Genomic DNA, 16,503 nt, shown 5'->3' with positions numbered 1-16,503 from the left:
TAAAAAGTTAAAAATAGAAAAAAGCTTATAGAATATGGATATAAGAGAAGCGAACACTTCTCTTAAGCTGTACAACGTGTCTGTGTTTTAAGCTTAAGCTAAGTGCTATTACAATAGTCAAAAGGTTAAATAAGTTAAAACATTTATAAATAAGTTAATAATAAATAAATAAGTCAATAATAAATAAATAAGTTAAAACATTTATAAATAAGTTAAAACATTTATAAAGTTAAAAAAGTACAGTCAGCTAAGGTTAATTTTTATTGAAGAAAGAAAAACATGTTTAATAAATGATTGTAGCCTAAGTGTACAGTATTTATAAAGTCTACGGCAGTGTATAGCAATGTCCTAGGACTTCACATTCACTCATCACACACTCACTGATTCACCTAAACGAGTTCCAGTCCTGCAAGCTTCATTCATGGTAAGTGCCCTACTCAGTTTTACTATTTTATAATATTTTATACAGTATTTTTACTGTACCTTTTCTATCTTTAAATATGTTTAGATGGACAAATACTTACCATTGTGTTAGAATTGCCTACAGTATTCAGTACAGTAGCATGCTGTATAGTTTTGTAGCCTAGGAGCAATAGGCTATGCCACATAGCCTAGAGCCTAGGTGTGTAGTAGGCGATACCATCTAGGCTTGTGCCTAGATGTTTGCACAACTACAAAATATCCTAAGGAAGCATTTCTGAGAACCTATCCCCACCATTAAGTGTTGCATGACTGTGTTAGAAAAGAGGAAAAATCACAAATCAAAAATCTAAACTCTTATCTCACGAACCTAGAAACAGAACAGAAAAATAAACTCAAAGTAAGAATAAATATACAAATGATAATTATAAGAGCAGAAATCAATGAAGTTGAAAACAGAAAATGGTAGAAAACATCAATGAAACAAAGAGCTGGTTCTTTGAAAATATAAAAAAATTGACAACCCATAGGAAGACCAACAAAGGAAAAAAAGAGAAAAGACAAAGTTATCAGAATCAGAAATAAAACAAAGGTCAGAGCCTTTCAACTAATAGTTCTGGAGCAATTGAATATCTATTCAAAATACAAATAAAATGAAATAAGTTTGACCTAAGCCCAGCCAACACCTTTGGCAAAAATTAACTCAAATTAAGTCATGAACATAAATGTAAAGTGTAAAATTATAATACTTTTTCAAAGAATAGGAGAAAATCTTGGGACTCCAGGATTAGGCAAAGAGTTATTAGAACTGACACCAAATCATATTTCCACAAAACTGAAGATGTTTGTTCAAGCCAGTCTCAGTGGCTCACACTTGTAATCCTAGCACTTTGGGAGGCCAAGGCAGGAGGATGGCTTGAGCCCAGGAGTTTGAGAATAGTCTGAGCAACATAGTGAGACCTCATCTCTATAAAAAACAACAAGTTAGATAGGCATGGTGGCAGACATCTGTAGTCCCAGCTACTCAGGAAGCTGAGGTGGGATGATTGCTTGAGCCCAGGAGGTTGAGGCTTCAGTGAGGTGTGATCACACCACTGCACTCTAGCCTGGGTGACAGAGAGAGACCCCGTCTCAAAAAAAAAAAAAAAAAAAAAAAAAAAAAAGTCTGTTTTGTGAAAGGCCCTGTTAAGAGGATAAAAATACATGCTAAAGAGTGGGAAAACATATTTGCTAACCGTATATCTGACAAAGGACTAGTATCTAAAATATGTAAAGAACACTCAAAACTCAACAATGTAAAATCAAACAATTTAATTAGAACATGGGCAAGAGACATGAAGAGTCATTTCACTGAAGATACACAGATTTCAAAAAATGCTTAAAGTTATTATCCATAAGAGAAATGCAAATTTAACCCATAATGTGAGGTCACTATACACCTATTTTAATGGCCAAAGTTAAAAATAGTGACAACATCAAATGCTGGCAAATATGCAGAGGAATTGGATTACAGTGCTGAATACACACAATGATCTAAATTAATTGCCATAGAATCATGCAGAGTAAAAAATGCCATTCTCAAGAGGTTTATATTGTACATTTTTTATATAACATTCTTGAAATGATGCAGTTATATAAATGGAGAACAAATTAACGGTTTCTAGGAATTAAGGAGAGTATGTGGTGTCTATACAAGGGCAACATGATACATGTATGCATTGTGGAATGATTACATCAGGCTAATTAACATATCTAGCACCTCACATACTTTTCTTTGTAGTGAAAACAATAAAAATAAATTCTTTTAGGACATTCAAAATACCAACAGGTATATGAAAAAATGCTCAACATCACTAATCGTCAGGGAAATGCAAGTCAAAGCTGCAATGAGACATCATCTTATTGCAGTTAGAATGGCTATTATCAAAAAGACACAAAATAAGAAATGCTGTTGAGGATGCAGAGAAAAGGGAGCTCTCATAGGCTGTAGGTGGGATGTAAAGTAGTACAGCCATCATGGATAACAATATAGAGACTTTGCAGAAAATGAAAAATAGAACTACCATATGATCCAGAGATCCCACTACTGAGTCTTTATTCAAAGGAAAGGAAATCAGTATATCAAAGGAATACCTGAACCCTCATGTTTATTGCAGTACTATTCATGATAGCTGAGATGAGGAATCAAATTAAGTGTCCGTCAATGAGTGAATGGATTTTTTTTAATGTGGTATATATATACAATGAAATACTGCTATTCAGCCATAAAAAAAGAATCAAAGACTGGCACAGTGGCTCACGCCTGTAATCCCAGCACTTTGGGAGGCCATGGTAGACAAATCACTTGAGGTCAGGAGTTTGAGACCAGCCTGGCCAACAAGGCGAAACCTATCTCTACTAAAAATGCAAAAATTAGCTGGGTGTGGTGGCATGCACCTATAGTCCCAGCTACTCAGCAAGAGAATTGCTTGAACCCGGGAAGTAGAGGTTGCAGTGAGCCTAAATCGTACCACTGGGTGACATTCCAGCCTGGGTGACAGAGTGAGACTCTGTCTTAAAAAAAAATATATATATATATATAAAATAATTTTAAAGAGAATGAAATCCTGTCATCTGCAGCAACATAAATGGAACTGGAGGTCATCACGTTAAGTGAAATAAGCCAGGCACAGAAAGACAAATATCACATGTTCACACTCATTTGTGGGAGCTTAAAAAATTAATCTCATGGTAGTAGAGAGTAGAATTATAGTTATCAGAGGCTAGGAAGGGTGACAGGCATGAAGCGAGGTTGGTTAATGGGTACAAATATACAGCTACACAGGAGTAAGTTCTACTGTTTGCTAGCACAGTAGGGTGACTACAGTTAACAACAATATACTGCAAATTTCTTTTTTTTATTTCCAACTTTTAAGTTTTGGGGTACATGCACAGGATGTGCAGGTTTGTTACATAGGTAAAAGTGTGCTATGGTGATTTGCTGCAGAGATCATCCCATCACCTAGATATTAAGCCCATCATCCATTAGCTATTCTTCATGCTCTCCTTCCTCCCACCCCCAATGCTCCAACAGGCCCCACTCTGTGTTGTTCCCCCTCCATGTGTCCATGTGTTCTCATCATTCAGCTCCCACTTATAAGTGAGAACATGTGGTATTTGGTTTTCTGTTCCTATGTCTGTTTGCTGAGAATAATGGCTTTCAGCTCCATCCATGTCCCTGCAAAGAAATGATTTTCTTTCTTTTTATGACTGCATAGTATTCCACAGTGTATATGTACCATCTGCTGCAAATTTCAAAATAGCTAGAAGAGAATATTCAAAATGTTCCCAACACAAAGAAATGATAAACATTCAAGGTGATGGATATTTTAAATGCGCTGATTTGATCATTACATATTGTAAGAATGTATCAAAATCTCACATCTACCATAAATAGGCACAATATATAAATAAATCTTTTTAAAGTAAAAAAATTAATTATTTTAGCAATTTTGAAATATACTGTACATTATTTTTAACTATAATGACCACATTGTGCAACAGATCCTATAAATATATGCAATTATTATTTGTCAATTAAAAATATATATTTTAAAGGACAGCATAAAGATCTTTGCGGTGATGAGAATGTTCCATATTGTGACTTTATGTCAAGATGTCATAATATCAATATCCTGATTGTAATTCTGCAAGATGTTACCATTGGGGGAAACTGGCCAAAGAGTACATGGGAATACCCTGTATTTATTTATCACCACTACTGTGAATCTACAGTTATCTCAAAATAAAAAGCTGAATTTATAAGAAAGACAAAGAATGACAGGCAGAAAGAAACAATGTGGTGTTTTAAAAGACAGACTTTAGGGTACATTGAAGGCAAAAAATGGAAAATAAATACAGTACAAGTTAAAAAAAGGCAAAACTATATTAATATACAAAGTCGATTTTAGGCAAAAAATAACATAAAGGAGAATTCACAATAATGAAAGTATAAATTTTAAAAGATGACATGGCAGTTCTATGTATATTTGACCCTAATAACACATCTTCAGAAAGTCAATAACAAATCGAAAACAAATCAAGGAGAAACACACACATATGATTGACAATTTTGATACACCTCTCTTAGTAAGTACAAATTAAGCCAAAAAAATTAATAAAATTATAGAATATTTGAACAACATAATTAACAAACTTGACCTAATGAACACTATATATATAAAACACTATATATATAAAAAACACTAAGGGTAAATATTACAGAATACACATTAATTCAAGTGTGCTTGGAACATTTACCATTATTGATCATAGCAAAGGCCATTAAGCAAGTTTCAACGAATTTCAAATAATTGAATTTGTACAACATTCTTTCTGATTGCAATGAAAGAAAACTACAAAAATTTAAAAACATAATTAGAAATACTTGTCTAGGTGCAGTGGCTCACACCTGTAATCCCAGCACTTTGGGAGGCCAAGCTGGGAGGATCGCTTGAGACCAGGAGTTGAAGACCAGCCTAGGCAGCAACATACTGGGGCCCCGTCTCTACAAAAACTGAAAAAAATTAGCCAGGCGTAGTAGTGCCCGTATGTAGTCCCAGTTACTCAGGAGGCTGAGGTGGGATGATCACTTGAGTCCAGAAGGTCAAAGCTGCAGCAAGAAGTGATCACACCACTGCACTGCACTCTAACCTGGGCGACAGGAAAGCCCGTTTCAAAAAAAAAAGAAAAAAAGAAAGAGAGAGAGAGAGAAAGAAAGAGAGAAAGGAAGAAAGGCAGGAAAAGAAGGAAGAAAGAAAGAGAAAAGGAAGGAAGGAAGGAAGGAAAACAGGGAAGGAGGGAGGAAGGAAGGAAGGAAGGATTACATATAATACTTTTTAATAACTCATGAATCAAAAAAGAAATAACAATGGAGATATTTTAAAAGTTAAACTAAGTGGTAATGAGTGGGTCATATCAAAACGTGTGAGATGCAGCTAAAGCAGTGATTATAGGGGAATAAAAAGTTTCAAATATATGTACACATATATATGTGTGTATATAAGCAGAAATAAAGCAAAATATACAAAAGAATAACTCAAATTTGCTTTTAACAATTAATAAACCTGATAAACTTCTAGTAAGTTTGATCAAGGACAATGAAAGAAAACAAAAATTACCCATATCAGAAATCAAGAAGAGGACATTAATATAGATCTAACAGATAGCAAAATGATAAGAGTAATACAATAATAAAACAAATTTATATCAATAGATTTGAAAATTCAGATGCAATGAATAAAGTATTTGAAAAACACAATGTACCAAAACAAACACAAAAAGAAATAAACTGGCTGGGCACGGTGGCTCACACCAATAATCCCCAGCACTTTGGGAGACCAAGGTGGGAGTATCACTTGAGATCAGGAGTTTGAGACCAGCCTGGGTCACATGGTGAAACCCCGTCTCTACCAAAAATACAAGCATTAGCCAGGCATGGTGGCACACACCTGTAATCCCAGCTACTCGGGAAGCTGACAAGAGAATCACTTGAACCTGGGAGGCAGAGGTTGCAGTGAGCCAAGATCACGCCACTGCACTCCAGCCCGGGTGACAGAGCGAGATTCCATCTAAAAGAAAGAAAGAAAGAAAGAAATCTAAATAGGTTGATAAATAGTAAATAAAGCTTCCCATAAAGTAAACTCCAGATCCAAGTAATGTCAGTGGTTATTTCATTCAAACAAATAAGGAAGAAATAACACTAATCTTACACGAACTCCCCCAGAATATAGAGAAAGGGTGAACTCTTATCAGCTTGCTTTATGGTGCCACTTTAACCTTGATTTCAAAATCCATTAAGGACATTATACAAAAGGGAATTAAAAGACAGGATATCTCATGAATATACTTGCAAAAATCCTAAACAAAATATAAACAAATCAGATTCAACACTATAATAAAATAAAATGTTTTGTTCAAGTGGAGTTTGTTCTAGGAAGGTAAAATTAGCTTCACATTTGATAATTAGTTAATATTGACAGAACAGAGGAGAAAAACGTGACCATATTGCAAGATGTGGAAAGGCATATAATAAAATTCAAAACCTATTCGTGTTGTTAAAATGTCAGCAAATTAGGAATTTAAAAAATTAATATAATAAAGTGATTGGCAAGAAAAACTCCAGTAAACAGCATACTTCACAGTGAAATAATAAAACCTTTCCCCCTGCTCTTGAGCCAATTTTCCCCATACAATATTTTAAATTATTACCATTTCTATTCAATATCATATTCATCTTGCTAGCCAAACAATCATCAACCAATCAATGGTAGATATATTTCAAATAGAGAAGTAGAATTTTAATATGCACATATCCTTAAGTACATAAAAATTCTAAAGGGCCCTAAAAATTATTAAAATTAATAAGTATAATTAACAATTTCACCAGATATAAGGTCAATATAAAATTAATTTTGTTTTTATATTCTAGCAATAATCAATTAAAAATTAAGATAAAGAGATCATAGTCACAATGCCACCAAATACCTTAAGTAACTGAAAATAAATGTATTGAAAGATGTGGCCGGGTGCGGTGGCTCATGCCTGTAATCCCAGCACTTTGGGAGGCCGAGACGGGTGGATCACGAGGTCAGGAGATCGAGACCATCCTGGCTAACACGGTGAAACCCCATCTCTACTAAACAAAATACAAAAAATTAGCCGGGAATGGTGGCGGGCGCCTGTAGTCCCAGCTACTCGGGAAGCTGAGGCAGGAGAACGGCGTGAACCCGGGAGGCGAAGCTTGCAGTGAGCCGAGATGGCGCCACTGCACTCCAGCCTGGGTGACAGAGCAAGACTCCATCTCAAAAACAACGACAAAAAAAGAAGGATGTGCAGGATTTCCATATTGGAAAACTAACAAATATTGCTAAGAGAATTTAAAGATCAAAATAAATGCAGAAAAATAATATATTAATGGATGGGAGGTCTCAATATTTTTAAAATACTGATTTATCCCTGATTGATCTATACATACAATGCAATCCTATTAAAAAGTCCATCATTCCTAGAAGTTGACAATGAGATTCTAGAACACGCTGGAAGAACTAAGGGACTTCATATCAGGTTTTATGATGTATTATGATGTTCTAATAATTAAGAAGTGCTTTGTTAGCACAAAATTTGACAAACTTGATGCATTAAGGAGAATAGAAAATTCAGAAACAATCACACACACGTAGTCACTTGACTTCAATAAATGTGCCATGGCAATATGATAGGAAAAGGATTCTTAAATTTTAAATTAATGGTGCTGAGTTCATTGATATCCATATACTACAACATGAACCTTGAACCTTACTTCATGCCATATACATACAAAGAAATTCCAGATGGATTATAGATATAAATGATAAAACAATACAGCTTCTAGAAAAAATTTCACAAACATGAGGTAGGAAAAGATTTATTAAACTGAAAATAAAAAGCATTAGCCATAAAGAAAAGGTTTGAAGTAATTGATAAATTGAATTACATCATATTAAGAACTTCTTTTCCCTTTTAGCTGTTATTGAATATATTTATGAGGTATAACATGATGTTTTAATGTATATATAAATAGTGAAATCTTTACTAAAGTCAAGCAAATTAACATCTCCATCCCCTCACATGGTTACTCCTCCTTCCCCTACTTTTTTTGGTGTGGTAAGAGCACTTAAAATCTACTCTCTTAGCACATTTCCAGTATATAATACAATATTAATAACCATAATCCTCATATTGTATATTAGATTCTAGACTTATTCATCCTATATAACTGTAACTTTGTACTCCGTGACCTACATCTCTTCATTTAACACCCCCTGCACTGCTAGACACAAGAGTACAAACTGATTTAATTGAGTAAGTTCAAGAACAGCAAAATTAATGTATAGTTATAGAAGTCAGAAGAGGTATTACTTTTGTCAGAGTGGATGCACATAGGTATTGTTGACTGAGAAGGTACAGGATCCTGCTCGGATGCTGAGAAAGATTTCTATCTTCATCTTTGTGGTTGTATTTGTGTGTAAAAATAAAATCACAGAAACAACATATAATTAAGATTTTGACAGTCTTATGGATGTGGGTTAAATTTTAATATAATTTTCAAATATTTTAAAAATGCTAACAAACATTGTCAATGTTACCGGGCAGGGTTCTCTTTAAACTAACTTCAGCTAATAGCAATAGGTTAGAAAACAGGAACATTTTCAGTTGATGATGTTTTGCCTTAAATTGCCATATTCATTGATTCAAGTTTTCTCTTAGGTGTAAATTTAGCTTTATGTGACATTTGTGGTGGGTGTTTATGATTCATTCTAGTGCTGATCATCTGACAATATTAAGAAAGGCTATTAAAAATGTGAGAGCATTAGCTTTGTTATTCACTCATTCAAGAAACACTGTCTTCTCTGTGCCTGCATTAGGTTTTGGACTGAGGTTAAGAGATAGATGACACATCCCCTAACCTACAGGAGTTTGCAGTCTAATGGAGGAGATGGCTAACTTAGAAGATGAGAATTAAAAAAGTACAATGTCAGAATAGGCATAGAGTGCCAAGAGAATATAGAAAAAAGAGATACTGTTTACATACTTAGCACCTACAACAATAGAACCAAAAAGTACATTACAAGATGATCTCCATAATGAGAACCTTTAAAAGTCTGTGGATAAATTTCAAACATTTCCTAATATCATGCCAAGATCTAGTGGATGATGGCACAGGACATGGCAGGCACAGACCAAGAATTATGCTGCAAAGAAGGAGGCCATCAATTTGGGGTTAAACTATGGTAGCAGATATCAAAGAAACAAAAGTAGTTAATGGAAGTCTAAGAAGATAAAGCTACTAAAATCTAGAAGTATCAGTGAGTTGGATGAGAGATGGAGAAATGGAGAAAAAGATTTTGGCTGCTGGCCTCTACAGAAATTGGGCCTTTGGATAACAGGCATAAAATACCAGTTTAACAATGAACTGATTGACTTCTTAGATAGGAACTCATTAAACCACCCCTGGAGAACCACAGCTCCTTTTAGAAAATGAACAGGCCTCAGCTAATAATGTACCTCATAGAGATATACCTGATGATAGTAACTGAGCAGGTAGTTGAGTGGATCCTAATAACAGTTTTTCAACAATCATGGATCTACATCTAGGCAGCTTATTAAAGCTCATTCATATCTTCACACTCTATAGTATCTCCAAAAGATAAATTGCATATGTTGAATAAGGGATGTATTAAGGGATTCCCTGGCTGGGCATGGTGGCTTACACCTGTAATTCCAGCACTTTGGGAGGCCAAGGCAGGTGGATCATTTGAGGTCAGGACAACATGGTGAAACCCCGTCTCTACTAAAACTACAAAAATTAGCCAGGCATGGTGGCAAAGCCTGTAATCCCAGATACCTGGGAGGCTGAGGTAGGAGAACTGCTTGAACCTGGGAGGCAGAGGTTGCAGTGAGCCAAGATAGCACCAATGCACTCCAGCCTGGGAGACAGAGTTAGACTCTGTGCCAAAAAAAAAAAAAAAAAAAAGGGGGATTCCCTTGGACCTTTTCTAAAGTTAATTTCTCAAGCTGCAAAGAATAATTCAAGTACATAGCTAAAAGCTCAGTCTCTTGCCCAATCTACTGTTGATGTCCTAGAAGCTTGCAAAGATGCAGATTGATGGTACAGTGTTTTACACAGAACACCAGATTGGCAATAACTAAGAAGGTGGTAGTTTATCCCATCCTTTCAATTTGCTTCCAGAGTGAACCTTCTGCGTTCCAACACCTGTTCTCTACTCTTCTTTTTATATCTGCTGGGGTATGGTGGTCTTTAAATTGTGTTTTTACCCTAGCTGGAAATAAGTTGATTTTTAAAAAATATACATGGATTTTAACTCCTTGTCTCCCATCTAGAGAAGCATGTTGAAGAACAGTGTCAAACTGAAGTTGGTATTTGAAGTATGAAGCAACTTTAACAGCTAACATGTATTGAGTGTTCACTCTGTCTCAGGTAAATCAGTCTCACATGAGGAAGGTGATATAACCTACATTTTGCAGATTAAGGAATAGGGATTCCAAAAGTCAAATGATAATGTACAGTTAGTGAGTGACATGCACGGGATTTAAAAGCAGGATTTTGACTTTCAAGTTTAGGATTTTAAGCCCCACACTGTACTGCCTCTCAGCACAAGACAGACAGACACAACAGACTTTGTGCCTTTGACCGCCTCTCTTCTTTTCCTCTTTGGTGTCCCTCTGTGCCACTACCAGAGCTTAGCATACTGTTGGGAATATCTGGACTGGAGGCCTGCTCTTGGTCCAGATCAAACAGAGAAATGGGAAGCAGCATAAAATAGTTAATGTCTGTCCAACTGTGCTACTGATTCTTTGATTTGTTTCCTCCTTCTTCTGTAAGATACTCTTTGCTCTGAGTGAGAGGTCCCAAAGACCTTGTTTTTCAGTGGCTACTGTACATTTTATAGAGTTGTATTCTGCTGGAATATTATGCCACAGGAGTCTACTGAATTGGGCTTTATATTAACCTCATTCATCTTTGGATAGGTTCTTGTTACAGGGGACAAATATAACCAAAGACTTCTTATCATATAGAAGCTTTTGGTTTTGCAATCATTGGCCTTTAAAGAGTTTTTTGAGGTAGCATTTTGTTTCTTTTGTCTTCTCTCCTCTAGTCAGTATTCCTGAAGCAACAAAAGTGAAATGTAGCTCCAAGTTTAGTTTAAAATAAACTGAGTTTATTTTTCCTATTTGTATTTCTAGGGAAGTTGGACCAGAAAACATGTTATGAAGTTGGTTTCGTGATTTAGTACATCAAAGCCTTTTTATATTAGACTTACAGGCTAGAGAAAGACAGAAAACAGAGAACACAGAAGTTACATTTTACAGTTTTCAGATCATTTTAAGACTATAATAAAGTTATGTTAATGCATTCTCAGACTTTTTGGTAAAGGTATATTTTCAAAAATCTAATAATACAATCTTTAAATAAACTTATTTAATCATAGTATATTTTTATCTATTTCACTTTAAGTATGAATATTAAAATTGGAAAAATATATATGCATATGTGAGTTTACATAATGACAGTGATATTATTTCATGCTTCTCTTTTCCTACTTAATTATGCAAACTATCCTTTGAAACCTGAAATGATTGTATAAGCACTGCATAATAGCTACACAAAAATAATGTGGAATTTTAATTCATGAATATACAAATTGGGAACAGAATTGGACAAAACAGGGGGGAAAAGGATAAAAAGACAATCTGCTCTAAGTCTTGTCTTTGAGTCTGTGACCTTAGATAAATTTATTTGTATTCTGTAAGATACAGGCAAAAACTGCCCCCTACCTATCTTTTGGAGCTGCTGCAAGATTTATTAAACTAGGGGGAAAAATGCAAAACAAAAACTGTTTAGAGGTGTGATGAGACAGAGGGTACACAAATCCAAGATAGTTTTGTTATCTCCAACGGGTGTCCAAGGTAGAATTAACTTTCATAACATCCTTATGAGTTAGGTAGATAATCTTAGCCCTGTTTTTAAAGATAAGAGGGCTTATGTGCTCCTACTAACACCACTTAGATTGGGTGTATGAGAACGGGTACAATTACTGGATTCAGAGCTAGGTCTGTATTTGTTGATACCTGAAAGTATTTTAAGGGACAGATTTTAAAAATCCCATCATTCTGTTGGCAGGCAATGAGAATAGCCTGCATATTATTCTCCCCAGTTTTCTTTCTGTGGTTCTTCATGAAATTGATCTGAAATGCAAGACAAGACACTTTGTCTCAATGGTATCCAAGGGGAGCCAAATATTTTGAGAACTATTAAAAGACATTGTTCAAACGATGAGGCATATAAATGTGATTTAGTGCAAACTGAAGCCAAAGTAGCCATCAAAAATCAAGAGACTTAGGAAAAAGGGAAGACAAAAAACCAATGAGACAGTTAACCTGTAGCTTATGCTGTAAGATTATGTGGGGAGTGGTTATAACATTCTCTTTAACATTACTTCCCACACACAAAATAAAAGCAAATAGAAATGGGGAGTATATATATTCCCCTCAGCCTAAAAAAAGTGCACACTTGTTCCCAAAATTGCTTGCTCAGCATTACTAAAAATGTTTCAAGCCAATTAGAGTGCCTGACACATAGAAAATCATCAATAAGTGTTATCTGTTATTAGTTGGATTTGGAGTAAAACAGTATTTCATAAAATCAAGAACATACTGGGAATAAGAATGCCTACGTAGAAACCTTGTCTCTTTGCACTAATTGCTGTGTGACCCTAGTTACTTAATATCATCTGTGAAGTGGGGAGAATGATAGTACTTATGTGATATAAGCTTTGTAAAAAAAAAAAAAAAAAAAAAAAGGCATGAGCTGGTACATTTAAACTCCATAGCATAGTTTCTGGCATAGAGTATATATCTGATTTACAAAGTACTAGTTACTAAGAGTTGTGCTCCTAGGCTTGTTATACTGGTGCCACCCAGCTAACCAGCCATTATTTATTGAGCACTTAATTAACTAGGCACTGAAAGAAATGTTGAAATGAGGTTAATGTTGAAAATAAATGTTGAAATAAGGAGCACAGGGCCTTTATCCACATGTGGATTTTTTGGAAGTTATTAACAAAAAACAGGTTTAAGTAAAATAATTAAATGCTGTAATATACGCTTAGAAAGATCTGGCAAGAGATTGATACAGAAAATGTGGAATAAATTTCTTCTGTAGGCAGAGGTTCAGGAAAAGTCTCTCTAAGGTTGTATATTTAAAGTGAAGGTCTCAAAAAAGAGGAGTCAGCCATATGAAGTGGGGTTGGACGGTGGACGTTCTAGGCAGGCGGAACAGCATGTGCAAAGGTCACGAATTGGAAAAAACTGGGCACATCAGCGAAAAGGATAGCCCCTAATGGTTGGCGTATTAGGATGAGGGTAGAGAATCCTGCCAAATGTGATGGAGAAGTGAGTACTTGGTCAGCCATGGTAAGGAGTTTGGATATTATTCTGTTTGTGATGGTAAGCTGGCAGGAAGTATTAAGCAGTTACAATAAATTATATTTTTTATCCTTTTGAAAGACTACTTTTGCTGCCTTGTAGGGCAGAGTGTCCACACTTTTTTGATTGTGCACACCAATCAGTATACAATGACTAAATGTTCATATTCTTTGTCTTTCTGCCTCTGCTTCTTTCTCTATCTGCTTCTGTCTCTCTCTTTATACATATATATGCATATATATGAATATATATACATATGTTTATATTGTATATAAAACTGTATATAACATAGGTATATTAATCAATAATTAAATATTTTAGCAAGGCTAAATTTTAATCTTTCTGATTAAAACTAAATATATCACCAAATTCTATTATTTTCATCTTGCACAAAAATGGATCACCTGAGTGTGCTTGTGCCCTTGTACTTGTGTCATCTTTGGAGATGACTATTGGAGAGAAGGAACGGAACAGTGCAATTATGGAGTAGAGTGAGCAGTAAGAGGCTGTTGTGGTAGTCCAGATGAGAAATGATGATAACTTAGATGAAGTCGTGGCATATTTGTCACGTGCACAATGAAAAGACTCCTTATTGGAATTACAGATTTATGTTCTCTACTAGCCTTTGATATCAATTACTTTCCTAACAAATGACTCATTCTTATTATATTATATTAATAAAAATCTATTGGATTGCTTAGTGGGTTGTTGGATTGAAAACATCTTGAAATAGACTCCCCTCCATGATTAGCCTATTTATTGGAGTCTTCTAGATAAGGGGAATAATTTAGGAAATTACTGGTACTTTCCGCTTCTGTTTGTTGGCAAAAGTAAACGGGGAGCAGAGCCATAAGAAATAAAATGAATCCATCTATCTACATATGAACAATACGGCTTGCAGCCAATGTCATCCACACTTGTGTAACTTCTGTCTCAAATGAATAATTAAAATCAGGCATTAAAAACTTGCCTGCTCTCTATGAACTCCCAGCAAATGGACTGCAAATGCTTTCATTTTAAAGGGATCATTCTGACAGGTGTGTTTGAAAAGAGGTTGTAAATTCTGGGAAGGAAAAATCTACTCTACTTGTACGAGCATTCTTCAGGAAGCGCTTCCATTTTGAAACCAAAATAACATAAATGGTGGTAGGGCAATGATAGACTAAAGCCAGGAAATCTGAATCCACTAATGTCTTCTTTTCCATTTTGCTTCTTCCAGCCTATATTTGGATGATAATTTATTTGGGTTCTGATTCTTTAATCTGCTTTTCCTTTCTTGGAGGAATTCCCATGTACTTATCCAGACTGGAAAGGAGGTTAGCAGGGCATAGAAAGAAGTCATTAAGTAAATGATCCTGCAAAGCTCTAAAAACCTTTCTGAGGAAAGAAAAAACTACCGCTCTGGGTTTTGACAAAGAACATTTGCAATTTGAGGAGGAGAGAGGACCTCTGGCTCTCCTCTCCTCCATCTAGAGGCCATAGCCTGCCAGACAGCCTTTCTGTTTTGGAGGATTCAGGCATAAAGGAGCTTTTGCTTGTATTTCTTCTTTAACGACAAACAGGACACTCTTTTAGGTCCTTTTAGGTACTCAAGTTTAATGGCTGAGAAGCCTGCCCTCCTTGCATTTGCACTTTTTCTGCGCTGGTCGTAAGAACAAGAACTTAGGCCGATATTTTACAACACCTCTCTGGATTGGATTGATATAACAGACGTTTTCTTGGACATTAGAAAGAATTTCATTAATTGAAGAGTAATTATCACTCTGTATTACTTTGAACTTGGCCTCATCGCAAACACGGTATACAGATTTTTCAGTGAGGTTATTATTCTAGTATGAAAATGAACAAAAATGTAACTAGAAACTGGAATCGGTACTATTTTGTTGTGTCATTCATTTATTCAATCAGTAAATATTCATTAAATAATGTAATAACATGTACCTAAGAGAATATTACGTATATGAAGACTGCAAAGAAATCTGAAACCATTTCAACCCTTAGAAGCAAACTGTCTACTTTAAAAAGGATTGGATTTTGAGAAATCCTTTGCCGTTTTCAAAGCCCATTCACCTGCTATAAATCTTCATCTGAACTTACGAATAGTAGCAGGGTGCTAGGCTGGGCAGATACTATAATCATACAATTATAGAATTTTAGGAGCGGAAGGGATTTTAAAGGTCATCTAATGTGACCATTTAATTTTAAAGCTTAGGAAGCTGACAGATTGTGATTTGTCTGAGGTCCCAAAGCAAACCAGTGGCAGAGCACCATCACAGACTTGCTATTAGGGATCTCAAAGCATGTGGCAGTAGCACTGGGCCAGGCACCAAGTGACACAGAATAACTATAAGTACTGTGCCTCCTTTCCTGTATTTATTTGTTATGCAGATATGCATTAGACTCACAATAAATATTTATTGAACTAATGACTGGCAGATTTCCTCCCATGTAGGGTACTGTGCCACGTACTGAGGAAAATGGTAAACAAAAAACAGGTCACTTCCTCCAAGTTGCTCGAAATTTGATCTTCCTGTCCTCAATGAGTTTGCAGTCTCTTAGGGAAACCAAGATATATACGCTTAAAAAACGCGTAGTGGAAAGCGTTTTCTTAAATATGATTGCATGCAGGAAGATTGGGTTCAAATTCAGTGAATGCTTTAGGAGGTTAGGAGAGAAATCTAAGCGTTAAAATTGATGGGAAAAAAAATCCCCCAAACTAACACACACACACACACACACACACACACACTCACACACGAGATCATTTAATTACATCACTCTCTGCTGCTGCCTTTCCGGGATCTCCCCCCAGGCTGGGACACACAGGCTCTGCTGCGGGTAAGGTCAAGATGCCAACTCAGGAAGCATAAGAGAGGGAAGGAGCAGAAGCCCACCCATCCCTATCTCCTCAACTAGAAAAGACCAGAAAGACGGAGAAAAAAGGAAACAGCAACATAGACTCATAGAAACAATAAAGCAGGAATAGGAAGCTCCCGACACATCGACTGCTCCGGGAGCCCGGGGTCGACCGCCCCCGCGGGCAGGGTGCGCGGACTC

General features: G+C 35.8%; 1 protein-coding gene across 1 annotated transcript in view; it reads left to right on the top strand.

Annotated features, from left to right (window-relative positions):
• The window catches only part of SORCS1 (sortilin related VPS10 domain containing receptor 1), a 607,476-nt gene continuing 591,322 nt past the window's right edge, over positions 350-16,503 (top strand). Inside the window, exon 1 of the mRNA XM_017015617.1 lies at positions 350-424. Within this exon, the coding sequence (XP_016871106.1) occupies positions 422-424 (3 nt within the window). The 5' untranslated portion in view covers positions 350-421. The remainder of the gene's footprint in view (positions 425-16,503) is intronic.

Source organism: Homo sapiens, chromosome 10 (genome assembly GCF_000001405.40).
Source record: "Homo sapiens chromosome 10, GRCh38.p14 Primary Assembly".
NCBI classification, from domain to species: domain Eukaryota; kingdom Metazoa; phylum Chordata; class Mammalia; order Primates; family Hominidae; genus Homo; species Homo sapiens.
Note: the sequence above shows the minus strand (reverse complement) of the source record. Positions and strands in the feature narration are given on the sequence as shown.